General features: G+C 47.3%; 1 protein-coding gene across 11 annotated transcripts in view, besides 1 other annotated feature; it reads left to right on the forward strand.

Annotated features, from left to right (window-relative positions):
- RIN2 (Ras and Rab interactor 2) overlaps positions 343-19,224 on the forward strand; it is a 244,858-nt gene continuing 225,976 nt past the window's right edge. For 7 of the 11 annotated variants that reach the window (XM_047440211.1, XM_047440215.1, XM_047440210.1 and 4 more), the window contains exon 1: positions 1,002-1,071. The gene's annotated coding sequence lies outside the window, so the exon portion shown is untranslated. Of the gene's footprint in view, positions 684-1,001; positions 1,072-19,224 lie in introns of those variants that run through there. The other 4 variants (XM_047440212.1, XM_047440213.1, XM_017027888.2 and 1 more) reach the window with 1 other exon arrangement.
- Positions 1,391-1,965: an enhancer, noted in NCBI's record as "OCT4-NANOG-H3K27ac hESC enhancer chr20:19739291-19739865 (GRCh37/hg19 assembly coordinates)". NCBI's record gives its function as "activates a minimal SCP1, AML or CMV promoter by ChIP-STARR-seq in naive H9 embryonic stem cells {active_cell/tissue: H9 hESC(naive)}" and the evidence as "EXISTENCE:reporter gene assay evidence [ECO:0000049][PMID:30033119]".

Consider the following 19,224-nt stretch of genomic DNA (forward strand, 5'->3'; position numbering starts at 1 on the left):
CAACCGTCTCTCTGACACCTTCGAGGTGTCCCTTTGTCTCTTTGAGGTTCCCTCCGTGACACTGGCTACTTTGTAACTCTAACACTGTCAGCAATTAATTCCCAAAGGTGAGGTCCCCGTGGGAAGTGGGAAAACCCAGCGAATCACCAGGGACCCGCCTGATTCCGAAAAGGCTGGATGCTGGCTGGGAACCGGCCCCGCAGCTCCGGCGTCCCCGCCTGCCTGCGCGGCCTTCAGCTGGGGTTACGGAGGGCTCCCAGCGCCGATCCAAACCGCGTTCCAGGCGGGGTGGGCGGGCCCCTGGCCAGCGAGGCCGAAGCAAAACAACCCGCCCAGGCGTCCAGAGCGTATCCAACCCTGGAGAACCTGCCCCGGAACCAAGAGCCGCAGCCAGCTCAGGCCTCTCGAGTGGGGCCTTTCCAGCCCCTGCAACAGATCCCGGGATCTGTAGTTGGGCGGAGGGGCTCGTTATGGGAAAGGGGTGCGTGCGCGTTTGTGCTAAAACAAGAAAGGCAAGAATCTCCGAGAACAAAACTCTGGTCCTCGCCTGGCCGGGGACCGCAGAAGACAGGGGCGGCAGCGCCAAGGCGGGTCAGGGGCCGGTCCAGCCAAGTTTGCTCCGGCTTAGATAAACTTTCTGATGGCAGTTTTTCCTGGTTGCAGCCTGGGTTCCTTGTAACAGGGTAAGCGTAGCGGGTGGTTGTCAAGAGGGGCGGAGGCTGGCGGTTACAGGGAATGGAGGGATGGGCCGGACCTGGGGTCGCGCAGGCGCCTTGGTCGCTGCCTCCGATCCGATCACCCCCGCCCCATCTCCTCTGCGAGCTCAGGAAGGTGGCTGGGGGAGGGGGATGGCTCCCTACTGCCGAGGGACGGCCCGAGGCAAACACAAAGCCCTTCCCTCCCCTCCTCCTCTTTCCTCTCCTCTCCCCTCCCCTCCCCTCCTTTCTCCCCCTTCCTCCTCTTCCTCCTCCTCCTCTTGCTCCTCCCGGGCGGGGAAACCCAGCCCCGCGCTCGTCTTTGGGGCCACCGGTCGCCCCCGCCTCCGGGACCTGCGGGGAGGGCCCGCGAGAGGTAAGGGGCGGTGGCAGCGGAGACCCCACCCCCTGTGCCCGCACCTAGAGAGCCCGGAGAGGCTCCGGGCACGGGCGGGGCTCTCTGGGGTTCCAGACGTGGGTGCTGCTGTGCGCACTCTCTCCCTACTCCGGAGGGGACTTGAGGAAGACAGCCAGAGCGCGTCCTCGGGGATCGTGGGGAACGGAAGGGGGAAGGGGGATCAGGGAGTGGGGACAAGGGGCAGAGTGACATTCCGGAGCGCGAGGTGGCCGCTGGTCCCGGCAGGGTCACCGGGTGTCCTCAGCTGACCTGTGCGGGGCTGGGGTGAGGGACAGCTGGAGGGTGCAGGCACTATGGCTCGAGGTGCGGAGGTGCGGGTGTGCGTGCGTGTGCACCGGACGGAGTTTGGTAGGGACCTTTGAGGAGTTCTACCTGCAGGGCTGCCTGTGGGGTGTCAAGTGCTCCCTGCGCCTGAGCGCGCGGGTCAGACCCGGTGTCGCACAGCTTTGATCCCCAGCGCGGACCCCACTGGTGAGTCCAGCCAGTGTGCAGGGCAGATGCTCCGACCGGAGATTTCCTCCCCCGGGTGGAAAAGCAGGAGGGTTGTTGTGTCCGGGCAGGGGGCACTTGGGCTGTCGCGGTGATTGATGGCTGCGCAGCGGGCGGAGGAGGAGCCCCGGATTCCTGCCGGGAAGGGACGGGGCCACTTTCCCACTTTGAGGCCTCCCCGCCCCCTTCTGGGCTTGGCCTCCACCCTTGGCCTGGGCTCCCACCAGCTCGGCGTCCACCCACCGGCGGTGGCGCGCCCCTCGACCGCGCGGGGACAGCAGGATTTGCAGAAGTTCAGCTTGAAAGCCTATGATATGTTGCCAAGAAATACAGGGCAAGATCGGTCCCCTGGGCCCTGAGAGGCGCCTGTCTTCTCAGAGCTCTTAAATCCCTGGGGCTTTCCTAATTCCGCAGTGTAGCGGCACTTCCTTGCGCGGTTTTGGGCACATTGGGGTTTCTTAGGAACACGCTGTCATCGGTAAGGAAACATCAGAGTACTCTTCGACCAAAAGGACTGTAAATACTGAAGCAAAAAGAAACACTTGCTGGGAGTGCAAAGGGCTTACTGGGAAAAAAGAAACACACAGGGCAGCACTCCATCATTAAGATAAATAGTATTTTAATACAATCTTTTTAACAAAACCAAATTGAATGTAAAAAATTCATGATAAGCAAAAATCAACATTTTAAATACAGGTGGGTGTTGTTAGAACCCTGCTTCATAGGCCGGGTGCAGTGGCTTATGCCTGTAATCCCAGCACTTAGGGAGGCCAAGGCAGGCAGATCACTTGAGGTCAGGAGTTCAAGACCAGCCTGGCCAACAGGGTGAAACCCCATCTCTACTAAAAATACAAAAATTAGCTGGGCCTGAAGGCATGTGCCTGTGGTCCCAGCTACTCGGGAGGCTGAGGTGGGAGAATCACTTGAACCTGGGGGCAGAGGTTGCAGTAAGCCGACATTGTGCCACTCCACTCAGCCTGGGTGACAGAGTGAAACTCTGTCTAAAAAAAAAGAACCCTGCTTCATTGTTCAATGGGAACAGTCATATCCAGTCTCCCTCCCCCACCTCCCCATTTGTTTGTTCCCTTGCCTGGTGGTTTGAGAGTTGACAGTGGCATGCAACAGATTGAGCAACTCTGGCTTCAGATGTAGTCACGTTCACTGAATGCAGAGCTTTTATTAACTTTTTACCTAATTCAAATGTAGGAGGATATTGTCATAAGTGGATATAGAGGTGCTAATTTTCCTTTTTGCCTCAGGTTCCAATATTGCCTCTGGAATACTCATGCACTCCCGTGCTTTGGCACCTCCAGAGAGAGCATCACAGGCTAGGGATGGGTAGGGTCCCGGGACAGTGAAGGGCCCTTGCTTTTGGAACTTGGGAAGAAGGCTGTTGACAGGAGCTTTTGGGTTTGGAGACTTGCTCTCAGTAGTTGGAGGCTGGAGACACGGGGAAAACCAACCTGCTATCAAGACCTTTGTCTGGAAACATTCTCCTGCAGACAGTTCATCAGAGCAGAGGAGGAAACTGAAATAGCCCACACTTGACCTCTAGTGTAGGGCAGGTGGGAGGGAGCTTGACTCCCAGGATGGCTATGGCGTGTGCTTATTTAAAGATAACTTCGCAGCAGCACTCTTATCCCCACCCAAGGTGTCCTGCCATACACCTTATCCAAAGTCAAGGGTCACTACCCACTTCAGGACTTCCACTTTCCAGAAAGAACCTCCTTGCTTAGCTAAACCCTCTTCCTCTGCTTGGAGGACACAGATGAATCAGGTATCACAGATGAAACACAGGGTATGCTACCCTGAGAGGTCCATGCTCGTGTGACCCATTAATGGGAGGCCCATTCTTCACATACTCTCTGTATTATAGTGCTTTGACCTTGTGCCCAATTCCCCTTGTATATCCAACCTACCTAATGAACCTTCAAGAATCCTAATAGTTTCAGCAAGAAAGATTTCCCCGACCCTGTCCTCCTTTCCCCAGTAAGACACCCCCTCACTGCCACCAGAATTCCTTGTGTGTGTGTATGTGTATGTATCTCTTAAAGCAATACAGTGGACCTCACTTGCCCACTGTCTGTAAGCTTCCCAGGGTCCAAAACCAGGCCATAGCCCTTAAGACCTACCACTCAAGGAGGGGGTGTTGAATGAATGAATGAACAAAAGTGTCCCTTTGTCAAGGCATTTTGAGAAGTTGCACAGCAAGAAGTATACCCTCAGGACTGTAATGCCTCTGAAGAAAGCAGGTAACATTTTTGTAGCACATTATAAAATGGATTTACAAATAGTATCTCAGTCGTTTCTCACAACAGTAGTATTCATTGCATTTTGTAGGTGAGGAAATGAAAGCCTAAAATTAGTCTGTCATTCTGCCGCAGCACAGTGGACTTGCTAAAGGCGAACCTGCCCAGAGGCACACTCCATGCAGTGTATGTACAGAGCAGGATTCACCGAGTTGTGTTTTAGGATGCAGTTTTGCTAAACAATCACTAATGAGTTACAGTGATAAAATATGTTAGGGAAATGCTAATGTTGTCTGTTTTTTTATGGCAGGACTTTAAGGAGTCTTTATTGTTATACCATACATTGGGACTCTTTAGAATGACACCATAGTATGGGATGCTTGCCAACTTTATTTGGCCACAGAACACTCTTTCTCATGAAGTATCTTCTGGATCCAGTGTTCCAAGGAATTCACCTAGGGAATTGTTTAGTTCTCCCAAAATCTTATAATGTCTAGGCCAACTTCCAAGGAATGTTGATTCCATCTAATATGTGGTATTTTGGATAGTAAAAATGTATATTCTGGACACTAGAAAAGCATAATAATCCACCCTTGTCAATTTAGAGTGGATTGTTGATCTGTGTATCCAATTAACTCAAGTAGCTTCCATGCATCCGATTAATATGAATAGGTTCTTTGGGTTTGATCAGATATGATCTGAGGGAACCCCAGCCTCTGGAGAGCACTGCCTTTTTGCTGCCCAGAAGCCTTCAGATTTCAACCAGCCTTTCCAACTCTGAGAATCCCCTCAAACGCAGCTCTGTAGATGGGGTGGCAACTTCAGGGTTCTTGTCCTGAGATCACTATTTCATCTTGGCTAGTTACATCCATTGAGTGAGAAAGTACACCTGCTCAGTGAATTTTCTGTTCTCTCATTCCTCTCTCCTTGGGTGCTGGCCAAGTGAATTCTCTAGGGTGTCTAAGTGTGTGTGGACATTTGCTTATGAAAAGTAAGTAAATGTCACTCTCTGGGTGTCTCAGACCTGGAACAGAAGCCTGCTAACAGCAATCCCTCCTCATAGGAGCTGCAGCCCCCGTTCACAAGCAACCATTGTTTGAAATCAGGTATTTTTAAATCAGAGTTTGCCTTCAATCTACTGTTAGAGCACCTTCCACAGACCAGTAACCTCAGCTATTGAGGCTTTATTGCAATTAAGGAGACAAAGTGAGGAAGTTGGAGTTAGAATTTCAGGGACTCAAAGGAGAATTGTGGGCTAGTGGAGGAGCCTTCGGAAAGTGATCAAAGAGGCACAGCTGTGCAAATTTAACATTCATCTGCAGACATTTCTAGGTCTCCAATGCTGAGCAAATATATCTCAAGATTTGTTTCGTAGATTTTTCGAAAGCACAAAAAGTAACAATTCTCATTTAGAGATATGTATTAAACAGGGTGGTGTCACAGAAGTCAAGGGAAGGAGTGTTTTGAGAAAAATGGACCTATCAGATGGGGCGGGATGGGGAGTGACAAGGGGAGTTGAAGAAGATGACTAGAAGGCTGATGGGTCATTAGCCAAGCCGTGGAGTTCAAGTGTGTGTGTGAGCATGCACATGTCATCGTGCTGTGCGAACAAGGGAGAAGGTAGGGAAGAAACACTGAATGTGATTTATTTTATTTATTTATTTATTTATTTAGAGATAGAGTTTCGCTCTTGTTGCCCAGGCTGGAGTGCAGTGGTGCGATCTCGGCTCACTACAACCTCCACCTCCCGGAGTCAAGCGATTCTCCTGCCTCAGCCTCCTGAATAGCTGGGATTACAGGTGCCCGCCACCACACCTGGCTAATTTTTTGTATTTTTAGTAGAGATGGGGTTTCATGATGTTGGCCAGGCTGGTCTCGAACTCCTGACCTCGGGTAATCCACCCACCTTGGCCTCCCAAAATGCAGCAATTACAGGCGTGTGCCACCATGCACAGGCCTAAATGTGATTTTTAACCTGTTGAGTTTAAAAGTCCTGGCCAGGTGCAGTGGCTCATGCCTGTAATCCTAGCACTATGGGAGGCTGAGGTGGGCAGATCACTTGAGGTTAGGAGTTCAAGGCCAGCCTGACCAACATGGTGAAACCCTGTCTCTACTAAAAATACCAAAAAAATTAGCTGGGCCTGGTGGCAGGCCCCTGTAGTCCTCGCTACTTCAGAGGCTAAGGCAGGAGAATCCCCTGAACCCGGGAGGCAGAGGTTGCAGTGAGCCAGGATCACTCCATTGCACTCCAGCCTGGGTGACAGAGCAAGACTCTGTCTCTAAATAAATAAATAAATAAATAAGATATATATGTATATCAGCACAGAGAAGTGTGGAATGTCAGCTGAAAGTGTGAATAGAACCACACAAGTGAATACAGCCGCTAGCAAAACCACTCAATAGCATAATCACATAATGAATGAGTGAATGAATGAATGAATGATTAAATGACACTGTTTTTTGTAGCAGAAACTGTTTTTAAACTCACTAATAGTTAGGTGAAAGTTTAAACACAGTCATTTTGTGAAAGAGTCTAAGAAAATAAAATTGAATTTTTTAACGCTGTGGGTATTCCAGCCTGTGTGAGATGTCTTATTCTGGTCAAAAAGCTTTGGTTGTAAGAACCTCCATTACTAACGTTGAATGATGCTCCATGATTGAGAGCCCCTGATTCAGTTTGATGTAGGAATGGTTATAAAGGTATGCTGGTTTGTTTTAAAAACCATCCTAAGAGTGATTTAAAAGACGTTGCTGGACTTTATAGTATCCAAATGAGAAACGGATTCGGGAGGTGTTCTAATTCCTACTATGAGTGTATATCTCATTTTTATTTGATGATACCATCTGGCCAAGTGATAGTACATGGAGTATTAATACATAACCCCCCACTTGCTTAAAATTCTCAAAATTTGAGTCATTTCAAAAATCAGATTTGGAAACATTTGTATTTTTAATGAGTGAAGTCTTTTTTTAAGTAAGTTAATCCAATAAATTGGATAAAGAGACTTTTTGTTTTTTATGTACCTGATTTTATTTGGTAGATCAGGAATTCAAAATTTAAAAAAAGCTAGATTAAATAGTTAGCTAGATGAACTTTAGTTATTAAAGAAATTGTTACCGATTTTTCCCAAATACTGAACTCCCCCATTGCATTTTAACTATGGCTCGATTACAAGAATACTTTTAAAACATGAATGGAAGCAGACATCTGTCCTGTGTGGTAACTGAGGGCAGCTGTGCATGGAAACCTTTGAGTCTCGGAAAGTCAGCCAGGATCCCACACCAGGGGAAGTTGAGTGCTGAGACCAGTCACCTCGTCTATGCAGGACCTAGCAGTCCTGGGTGTGTCTGACTTCAGCACACCCATGTCCAGATAAGGGACGTGGAACCTAAACGCTCATCATCTTGCTATCCAGACTTTCCTTGCTTAAGTGCTAAATGTTTATCGCTTCAGCGATACACATTTTGTTATACAAAATCTTTAACCTTTTGCATCATCAAATGTTTGTGCTTTTTCTTAAAATTTCCTTAGTGGCTCTTCTGCATAGAAAACCTTTCCACTTCCTCAATCAATTACCTAGCCTTTTATATTTTCTTCTAATGTTTATGCTTTCAGTTTTTCAGATTACTATTTAAATTCATTTGAGATCATTTGGCAGGTGGTTTATAGAGTAGGAACAAAAGTTTATTCCTTTTTCCCCATAGTTTTCCCCTAGGTCTGGCATCATTTGGTGAATAAACCTGCCTTTCCCCAGCTCCATAACACATACAAATTCTACTAGGAAGGGCAAGTCCCACTTCACTTTCTGCGTTTTTTTTTTTTTTTTTTTTTTTTTGACAGAGTCTTGCTCTGTCTCCCAGGCAGGAGTGCAGTGGCATGATCTCAGCTCACTGCAACCTCTGCCTACCAGGTTGTACTTTTAGTAGAGACGGGGTTTCACCATGTTGGCCAGGCTGGTCTCGAACTCCTGACCTAAAGTGATCCACCTGCCTCAGCCTCCCAAAGTGCTGGGATTACAGGCGTGAGCCACCGTGCCAGGCCACTTTCTGCCCTTTTATCTTCTCCCCCACCCCCAAATCTTCTTGGCAAATTCACTTATTAATTCTTCCAGTGAAATTTTATTCCAGGGGATTTGTTTGGAATTATATTAAGCCTAATTTGGGAAGACCCGAAAGATAGTTTGGGATCCTCTTTTTCTGGGAAACCATGACATTGAATTAGAGCCAGTGGGCATTGATTGTATGTGTTCAGGCCACACATGCACACTGATCCCTGGGGTGGCTGGTGAGGAAGGCACAAACCCAGACTGGAGGAGACTGGCTTCTGGTTTCAGCTCTGCTGGGAGGTGTGGGACCTTGGCTGGCTCAAAGGTTCATTTGCACTCATGTGTGTAGGCGCTCCTTTAGGATTCCAGGCTTCAAGGACCTAGCAGCCTAGCAGGGGATACTTACACAGACTGGGAAGGGCAGGACAGTGTGGTCAGTGCTTGACTTGAGAGACAGACATACTTGTGTTGAGTTTGAACTGGAAGACCCCTAATTCAAGTTCTTTGTTGCTTTCCTTTGCAATGGTTTTTCTCCTTGATAATTTAGGGATCCCACAAAGTCAGAGGCTCTTGTCTTTTTAGAAAAGGCATTTATCCCTCTTCCTTTTATGAAGTAAGCACAGGGATCTTGGGGGTGGGATGGGGTGGGTTTAGGAGATTCCTCTGGCTCTCTGCTAGACTAATGTTGTTGAAGGAAGGTGACTTCATCCTCATGGATGGCAAGACCCTTTGGAAGGTTTCATGGCTTGTGAGAAAAGGAGGCTACAGAGGGAGGGAGGGAAGGAGGGACAGCCAGTGGGATGGACCAGGCACAGATGGGGAGAATGGTCCTCCTAGGTTGACGGAGGCGCTTTATTAGGGTGGCTTCTTCAAAGCTTCTTATCCCCTCAGTCCTGTGAGGTCTGATGTCTGAAGTGACAGTCAGACAGCTCCCTGTCCTTCCCTCATGGTGGGAGGCTGCTCCTGGCCATCTGTCATGGATGGGGCACCCACCCATCCTCTCTGTATTCCGGGATTCCTGCCTTAACAGATGGTGTGTGTTTCGTATGACAAACACTGTCTCTGGGCACACCTCATACCCTAGTTTTCCCCAATATTTGCAGCTAATGTCTTTCCCTAAACAGTTTACAGGATGACCTTAGACCACATATATGATCTAAATAATACAAATAACCTACTACACTTTAGTATCAGCTTAGGCACTCTCCCTCTTTTAAACTGTGCTTCCATGGGACGTTGGGATCAGAGGTAGAGTCATTTCAAAGAACAGGGCTAGGAAAGGGCAGATTCAAGGTTGGTTCCCAGACCACTTTCTATTCAAGGGCAATGTGGTTGCATACAGAAGGGGTACTTCATCCTTTCCTGGGCATCAGAAAAGGATTCACAATGGAAGAGATGTCTAAGCTACGGTGGATGGAATCATCAGTGTTAACTAATAACACGTGGGTTCCAGGCAGGAGCGGCAAGTACAAAGAGTGAGAAATAAGCTGGGTGTGATGGCTCACACCTGTAATCCCAGCACTTTGAGAGGCTGAGGCAGGCAGATCACTTGAAGTCAGGAGTTCAAGACCACCCTGGCCAATATGGTGAAACCCCATCTCTACTACAAATGCAAAAATTAGCTGGGCGTTGTGGCACGCACCTGCTACTCGGGAGATTGAGGCAAGAGAATTGCTTGAACCCGGGAGGCGGAGGTTGCAGTGAGCTGAGATCGCGCCACTGCACTCCAGCCTGGGCAATAGCGTGAGACTCCATCTCAGAAAAAAAAAAAAAAGAAAAAAAAGAGTGAGAAACAAGAGAGGCTTGGAGCACCTAGGGAAGGAACGTGGAGTTTGTAGGGGCCAAGGGAAAAGTTCTCCTTCACCTGCTGAAGGTTTGCTGTAAAATCAACTCAGAAAAGGCAGGTTAATTGGGGAAAAGGCATACAGATTTACTTAACGTGTCTACAGAGGAGCCTTCAGAATGAAGACCCAAAATACAGGGGAAATTGTGTTTATGTTTAGGTTCAACAAATATGGACAGCCGTGTAGAAATGTGACTGGACAAACAGTCTGATTGAGTGCGAACAGACTGCTTGGGGAGATCCAGCAAGGCCTGTCTGTCTAGATTCCTCCTGGTCTCTCTGAGCAGCATTCCTTTCTTCCAGGTATGGAGCTGACCCTCTCCGGAATGCTCTTATGACCTATAGTTAGTCACAGTAGGTCAGACAGTTTCTTTATGGCCAGTTTTTACACAGAATGGTGGAGGGAAAGTTACAGCAGTAAGTTTAGGTTTTGTGGCTGGCTCTGGGGAAAAGAGGTTATGGGTCCTATGACCCACTTTGAAGGAGAATTCTAGTTTCTCTGGCTAGCCTCAGGGAGGATGGGACTGAGAGACCAGAGGGCAGGAGGTCAGAGAATGACTTTTGCTTCTGAGGCCCTCATTTTGGGGTACTGTTTTCTGAGCTCCTGCGAGTTCATTATGGCACCACTTAGAATGCGAGGCTCCTGGCCAGGCGTGGTGGCTCACTCCTGTAATCCCAGGACTTTGTGGGGGCTAAGGCGGGTGGATCACCTGAGGTCAGGAGTTCGAGACCAGCCTGGCCAACATGGCGAAACCCTGTCTCTACTAAAAATACAAAAATTAGCTGGGCGTGGTGGCAGGTGCCCATAATCCCAGCTACTCAGGAGGCTGAGGTAGGAGAATCACTTGAACCTGAGAGGCAGAGGTTGCAGGGAGCCGAGATCACGCCACTGCACTCCAGCCTGGGCAACAGAGCAAAACTGTCTCAAAAAAAAAAAAAAAAATCAATGCAAGTCTCCTGCGAAACATGGAGAGAGACGGAGGATGTGACCCAGACCCTCTGAGGGCTTCAGTCCAGGGAGGGAGGCAAGAACTGTACCTGCAGGACAAGTGGAGGACAACTTAGGAGAGCGTCATGTCCCAATGATCCAGACTGTGTGTCACGATGGAGAAAGTCTGTGAGGGAAACAAACCAGGTTCTGCCTGGTCTCTCCCTATGTTTTGATCTAAATAGCATCTCAGGCTCCTTGTCTATAACAGGAGATGAGGGAAGGTCTCAGACCAGGTTCCCTAGAAGCAGACCCCGAGGTGAGGATTCATGGAAAATGGATGAAGAAATATTCACAGGAAAACAGGAGAGTGGGGAAAGGGGGCCAGAGGCAAGGAAGCTGAGCAGTGGTGCAAACTGGAATGCTCTGGAAACAGTGGGAGCCCCACAAGAGTAGCCAGATCGGAGGCCAGCTTTCTGGAGACGCTCTACCCCTGCATCAGTCAGACTAAGGGTTGCCCCAAGTGCTTCCAGCTCTCTCTGCATGCGGGCAAAGCGAGTCCCATAGAGAGCATCCTCTGACAGGGACCCAGGTGCTGGCTGTGGCTTGCAAATGTGCATGAAAATGATTTAGGACTCTGAAGGCACAGGGACAGGGCGTGGCAGCATTTGCCAGAGTGGGATACCTGTTCTCATCCTCACACAGGCAGACAGAGTGGATTGTTATGAATAATTCATTGTCATTTCTTGTGACCTCCTGATCGTATGAGGAGCAGGAGTTTCTTACTGACATTACACAGCATGATGCCATGTGTGGCTTACTGGCCCCTCAGAGGTTATGCTGGCCCACCAGAAACCGTCTCTCCTCTATGTGCTTATTTCCCACACTTCTGGTGCTGATTTTTATGCCTTTAGACCTTATTGGAAATATTCAATATAATTACAAGATACCTATAGATATATAAATATTCTTCTTGGAAATACTTTGCTTTCTGTTTCTTTTTTTTTTTTTTTTTGAGACCGAGTCTCGCTCTGTCACCCAGGCTGGAGTACAAAGTCGCACTCTCGGCTCACTGCAACCTCTGCCTCTTGGGTTCAAGTGATTCGCCTGCCTCAGCCTCCTGAGTAGCTGGAATTACAGGTGCCCACCGCCACGCCCAGCTAATTTTTGTGTTTTTAGTAGAGATGGGCTTTCACCATGTTGGCCAGGCTGGTCTTGAACTCCTGACCTCAGGTGATCCACGCGCCTTGGCCACGCGCCTTGGCCTCCCAAAGTGCTGGGATTACAGGCATGAGCCACCGTGCCGTGCCCGGCCAGCTTTCTGTTTCTATTATTATTGGCTCTGAGTTCCTTGAAGGGTAAGTAATGAATAGGATAGAGGACATTGAAAGCTGTGGGTCTAGGAGACCAGAGAATATGAAGATCTGAAGAAGAATCTTCTAACTAGGTCAGGGCACAGCACACACCCTCACCACCCAGGCTAGTAGTTTGTCAAATCCTTACTCAAATACACATGAGTATCTGAATGCATAGGCACCTTCCCACCTCCATCCGTTCTGTGCCGTAGTCATCATCATCGACCCTCCATCTCTGGTAGGTTGCACAAGCCCTGCCAGTGAAGTGTAACAGGGTTGGATATGTAAATTACTTCAAACTAGCAGATCACAAGAGATTTCAGAGATGAAGCACGTTGTTGTTACCAGGCGGCTGCAATTTGACATGAAGCTCCTACCAGTGACAAACCACTAGTAAGAATTCCATGTGTTTGCTATTCTGAGCATGCAGCAGCTGGAGTAATGGCTGAGAAAGCAGAATAACATGACAGGGCCATATGAAATCAGATATTTTAAATACTGTGTTTCAAGACCTCAGGAGGTGGATCATGATAAGCTCTAATTTGAACTGCTGATATAAGGTGGAAATCAACCTCTTTTGAAAGTTTTTTACTAAGGTATATTTCACTTAGCTTAAGAATCAATAAACAATAAAAATAATTATTGTAAGAGAAAAAGTAATCAACCCCAAGAGCAAAAGAAAATGAACAGCAGAAAAGGAAAAGCGAATATTTTAGCTATAGTTTCCTATAAGCGCATTTAAACCTCTTGGTTGTAGTTGGTCTTTAACATTCTGAGGAATTGTTTCTATTTCTCATGGAAGATGGTGTAATGAAGGTATGAAAGGCTCCAGGAAAAGCTATGCTCAAGTTTTTTAGAGAGACAAAAAGAGCCTGGCATAAGAACTAAGACTTCATATTTCACAAGGATTATGATGCTTTTACAAAATAAATATCATTCTAGAAGCAAAGATAAAAAGTAATAAATTTAGCAAAATAACTGTTGAAGGTTGACTGAGCTGAAGGAACTATGCAATTAAGGATTATTTAATTTAACAGGACTGCCTTTGAGGAAAACAATGTTGGGTGAGTGCTGGAGAAATTGACCCAGCTATGATACCATTTGACTTCAAAATTGTTTACATGCCATGTGAAAAGCCCAGCGCAGAGGCAAGGAGAAAGCCCTCTGACCCTTAAAGCATTTCCCAATGAGCCATTTTAACAGAACCTCTCTGCAAATGAGCATTTCTAAGGGGACACAATTCCCCTGCCCTCCATCTGGAGGAGGAAATGTGAAATCTTGTTTTCCCTGCGGAGCTGCTTCCGCTCAGTCACCACCAAGCTCTGCAACTCATGGCTCTGCCCCCAGCCTCTGTCCCTCTTCCACCTCCTGCTGCCTCCTTCCCAGCAAGAATTCCATGTTTTCACGTATAACCTGTACGTGAAAAAAACAAAAACGTGTTTTTCCTCTGCTCTCACAACAATCACCAACACAGAAGCCTTCTGTGACCAAATGTGTGGGGTTTTTCCCCACACACCAAGTAGTGGACACCAGCTGGGCATCCTCCAGCTCAATTCCCACAGGGTGAGGGCTGAGTCTCACAAGACTGCCCCCACCCCCCCCCCCCACCTTCCCACTAGGGCCGCAAGTCCCGGCCTCCGGATCTGCTGACAGACCCGGCATCAAGTGGGGGTTCCCACAGCCCCTTCTTCGAGTTCAACTAATTTGCTAGAGTAGCTCACAGAGCTCAGGGAAACACAAATATTTATTGGATTATTGTAAAGGATATTGCAAAGGATACAGATGAAGAGAAGCACAGGGGGAGGCCAGCTTCCAAGAAGCTTTCTGAATGCAGGCCTTTGGCGTGTTTGTGGAAGCTTCATTACCTAGGTCTGCCTGGTCAAACCATTGGCTATTGGTGATCAACTTAACCTTCAGCCCCTCTCCTGTCCCTGGAGGTGAGACAGTGGTCAAAGTCCCAGTCCTCTAATCCTGCCTTGGTCTTTCCTGTAACCAGGGACTGCCAGCTGTCAATCAGCTCATTAGCATGCAGAAACATCACTTTGGAGATTCTAAGGATTTTTGGAGTTGTATGGCAGGAAACAGGGTTAAAGACCAGGTATATGTTTCATAATATATCACATAACACCTCCTTTGCGTATTCCTCATTTCTCTTGCCTGGTCTCTCTCAGGGCACTCCCCGAACTCAACCCCAACCCCTGCTGAAGCACACTTCCCCTGGGCTGTCCCTGCACCAGGCAGACGGACATGGCCAGGAAGACCACGGCATCCTTAAGGGATTCACGGCTGTCGGTCTCGAGGGGTCCAGCTCCCTTTCCGTAGTCCATCCACACACCTCTTCGGATCCATCTTCGACATACTTGTTTTTCAAATTACATTTTTATATGCATAGGAGTGAAGGAGAGTTTGGGGAACTAACACTGCTTTGGTATTTCCTTTCTTCTCCTCTCTGATCCTATCCTCTTTCATTTCATTAAAACGCTCTGACAGCAGCTTTTCTAAATTGCTTTCACAACCCACTAATGGGCTTTGAAAAAAACATGCCCTGAATGATTGTTCCACTCCGACTCTCCCTTCTCAAGCCTCCTGCCTCCTCCTGCCTCCTCTTGCCCTCCTCACTCTCTCGTTATTTTGAGACAGGATCTTGCTCTGTTGCACAGAAACTAGAACTAATCTGCAGAACTTCCATGACTCCCAAACACTACCAAGCCACCTGCATGCCGACTGTAGGCTCCAGCTCCCTCCTGCTTCCGTGGATAGAACAGATGCGCGCTCTCAGTTATGCAGTCCACCCAGGCTTCTCTCAGATACTCAAGGGCATTACTGCAGCAATTGTCCCGCTCTTTGCTGGGTCACCAGTTTCTCACCCTGTTTCCTGGGTCATTTCCATCCAGCTGGATTCATACTGTAGTATGGCCCAACTTTAGAGAACCTTCTCTTGACTCCACTTTTACTTCCAGCTCCCACATCTTTTCTCAGCTTTCATTTTACAAAGAACTCTTTACGAGTGCATCGGTGCTCACTGTCCCCAAGTCTCTTCCTCCACTTCTTCCGTTGTACCACTCTAGCCAGGATACTGCCCCCTGAACTGATTTTGTCAAGGTCACCGATGACCCCCCTGTTTTCAAATCCAGTGGTCAGTCTTTGATCCCCATATGATGTGATTTTCTAGCAGCATCTGACATTAAACCAAGGATGGGGCCCTTCTGAATGCAGGGCCCTGTGTGACTGAACAGTTTGGGTGCCACGAAGCCAGCCCTGGAACCATGCTGATCTTGGGTTTCATGTCACAAGAGACACAAGCTTCCACTGACAAGCACTCCAAGATCCCAAGGAATAATCCCAGCAGCTAAAAGGGTCCCGGCACTGCCTGAGCCAGACCTCTGTTCAGGACTTCACATGGCTGCCTCATCTCAGAACCCTGACCAGCCTGTGAGATGATCACTTCGTGCCTCATCCCCCTGGTATGCATGAAGTCGTTTTATGCTTTTTTCCCCAAATTATAGAAACTGAGGCACAGAGAGATGGAGTGATTTGTCTGTAGTCACAAAGCTTGAAAGTGGGGAAGCCACAATTCACTCCTGGTCTGTCAAACACCAGGACCTACACTTGTAGCAATGACTCTGTAATAACCTCAGGGTGTCCCTGTGTAGAAATACAGGCATGCATTAATTTTCTAGGGTTGCTGTAACAAAATACCACAAACAAGGTGGCTCGAAACAACAGAAATTTATTGTCTCACAGTTCTGGAGTCCAGAAGTCTGAAATCAAGGTGTTGGCAGGGCTGTGCTCCCTCTGACGGTGGTAGGGAAGGAGCTGTTCCAGGCCTCCCGGCTTCTGGAAGCCTCAAGCATGCCTTGTAGATGCATCCCTCCAGTCCTCCATGCTCACACATTCTCCCTGAGTGTCCTCACATCGTCCTCCAGGTTTCCCCTTTCCTGTTGGATTGGGGCTCATCTGATGACCTCATCTAAATTAGTTAAATCTGCATAGACCCCATTTCCAAATAAGGTAATATCCAATGCTAGTAGGGGTGAGAACTCCAACATATCTCTTTGTGGGGACACAATTCAACCCATAACTAGGTGTAAAATTAGAAACTGATGAGATATCCAGGAAGTGTGACCAGTGCACACAATCAGAAAATAGAGTCAGGCATTCTCAGCAGTAAATAGCTATTCCAGGTCAAAGGGCTGGGTGTGAGTTGCCTCCATCTTGTCTTGTTCTGCTGTTGTTGGGGAGGCCTTAGCACCTTCTGAGGTGGGTGAAAGCAGAGAATGGGAGCTGAAGGCTTAAAGAAAGGGCCAAGCGAGGTGGGTGGTTCCTGAGCTTTGATTTGGTGGCGTGCTGTCTATTAGACCACCCTGACTGGTTTCTGTGATCTCTCCATGGTACTGCTGAGTGCCAGGTACATCTCTTTGGAGGTATTGATGCTTAATGAACGGCAGCTTCTCCTTCCTGCTGGCTGAGGTGCATGAGAGGCCAAATGACTGTATTTGGGAGATGTGCGGTACAATTTCAAAATGCCTGATAATACAGTGATCTGGTTACAATCACTATTAAAATCACATCATGGATTGTGATAATAAAAATAAAATAATATATACTAGATGATAAATATTATAAAATATTATATATATATAATAAAGATAAAGGAAATATGTTTAGCTTCATATAAAAATCACCATCATGCCCTTGATTTGCCCCTGACCAGCACCCAGTTCCCATGACCTTGGAGCTTCCTGCATTCTGACCCTGAGCTTCTGTCCCATGGAGCAACTGTGTTTATGGGCTGTCAACCAGCTACCATAGGCAGGGGATGGAGGCCTTTATAGGCTCCTCTCTTTTATCTCACAGGGAATTTTTCAAGACAGAGCTCAGGTTTCTGAACTCAACTTACATAATGCATCTAAAATGACATAAATATGAATGTATCTCACCTATCACCCCCGAGCAGCCAAGTACCAGTTCACTGAATCAGGAGAGAGCCCTGGGATTGCTGAAGAGGGCAGGATGATGGAGTTGCATAAAGAACTCAACACAACCCAACTCTGATTTATGTCTCCAAAGGAAGTCAGATAGGAATGTGAACTGGGCACATAGTATTTTTCTTACAGGAGCATATAATAAAAGCAATATTTTTGCAACTAGAGAAGAAGCGGGAAAAAGATCAAGAGTCAGAGATTGCAGAGAGGAATTCCAAGAGGAATCTTTAGTCAGAAAAAGCCATGAGTCTCTCTTGTCCTCTGCCACTGTGGCATGTAAAGGAATTGAAAATGCCTTGAGAAAATTATTCGTATTCTAGAAAAAGGACACAAGGGAGTGGGATCCATGCATTTGCTCATCAAATCACTATTGGGTACCAATTGTGTTGTCAGGCACTGAACAGGCAGGGTACCCGCTTTGTACTTCCCTGAATCTCCATGGCCATTGTCCCATTCCAAGCCATTGTTCTCTCTTGTGAATAGGATGATGTAATAGGATTTGGTGTTACAAAGTTCACCCTGACTGCTGATCACAGACAGCATTTCAGTGGAGCAAGAGTGGCCTCAGTGAGACCAGATAGGAGAAGACTGTGATCATTCAGAAACTGGTCCCTGGCTAGAGGAAAGAATTGGAGGCAAAATTTGGAGAATGACCCAGCAAAGCTGTGGTGAATTAGATGTGAGGAGAGCAGAAGAGTCAAGGATGGCCCATTACTGACCACCCACATTCATGGAGGCATTATTTAAGGAGATGATCAATCTGGTAGGAAAAGAAGCCAGAGCAATACAGAGTTCCACTTCGTATGTGTTAAGTTTGATGAGCCTGTGAAAACCCAAGGAGGTGTTAAATATCTGGGAGTCTGGAGCTTGAAAGAGAGCTTTGGGCTACAAATGCATTGGTAGCAGTTTTCAGAATATAGAAAGCCTAAAGAGGATAAAATTGTCTAAGAAAAGGATATGGAGATGTTATCCTAGGGTTAACTCGTGTAATAGGATGGCAATAAGTGCAAAATTTTATGTTGCCAACTATGGTCTCCAAAGTCTGTGAAAACGTGGCAGTGCAAAGGTTGACTGCTGGTTCATTTCACTAAATTGCGTATCTTCCCTGCAAATGGGGCCCCCATTGAAGTCGGTATTTTGGATGTTAGCATCTGGCTCCCTCAACTGCAGAGGATTTCTGACTGGTGGAGGTATGCCTACCCTTCCAATTTGGGGCTGAGGACACCACCTGATTTCAAAAAGAGACTGTAGATAGACTGCTGAGAGGTGACATCACTAATTTATTAAGCACATGTGTGTCACTCATATACTTGCCACAGTCCATGTGCTATTTATTGTATACTTACACCAGTCTTGAAGATGAGTATTTTTACCCAATTTACACTGGAAAAACAGAGGCTTAGAGAACACAAGCATTTGCTGAAGTTCATGTTAATCAGTGGTAGAACAGGTCTTGGACCAGCTCTGTCCACTGACAGAGTCCAAACTCCTAAGTGCCAAGCTGTACTGCTTCTCCCAAAGCAAACAGCCTAAGGAGTATGTCCGCCCCAGGGCCCTCCATTGCTTAGCTGAGTATGGGACTCAGCTGCAGTTAGGAGCCTCACCCTCCACAGGCTGTCAGAGCCTCCGGCTTCGCTCCACCCAGGCAATCTGGTTTTACAGTTTCCTTCTCAAATAGAAATACTAATACTAACAAATATTTTTGTGATGTGTATAGCTTATTAAAGACTTACCCAGGCGTTCTCTGGCCTCAATCTTTTATGTGCCCTAAAGTCAACCATTAACTTCTTTTCATTTCCTTGGTATGTAAACCAAAAATAAAACTCTAAGTCCCCCAACTAACTGATGGACCCCTCCCCTTGGCCAAAGGCATTCCAAAGTTAACCAGAAAAACTAGCTCAGGCCATGATGGGAAGTGGGAGTCGGACATGCCTCATTATACCCTCCTCCCTTTGGGAATTCAGGCACAGCTGACCAACATTAACATCAACACAGAAACCTTAAGACTGATAGAACAGATTCTTGAAGTCTGATGAGAAACATTTACCATCTCTTCTCTCTGAAGCTTGCTACCTGGAGGCTTTATTTGCATGACAAAACTTTACTCTCCACAACCCCTTATTGATTCCAGGTCTTTAGATAATAACTCTTGCAACCAATTGCCAATCAGAAAATCTTTGAATGTGGCCAGGCACTGTAGTTCACGCCTGTAATCC

Source organism: Homo sapiens, chromosome 20, assembly GCF_000001405.40.
Source record: "Homo sapiens chromosome 20, GRCh38.p14 Primary Assembly".
Taxonomy (NCBI): domain Eukaryota; kingdom Metazoa; phylum Chordata; class Mammalia; order Primates; family Hominidae; genus Homo; species Homo sapiens.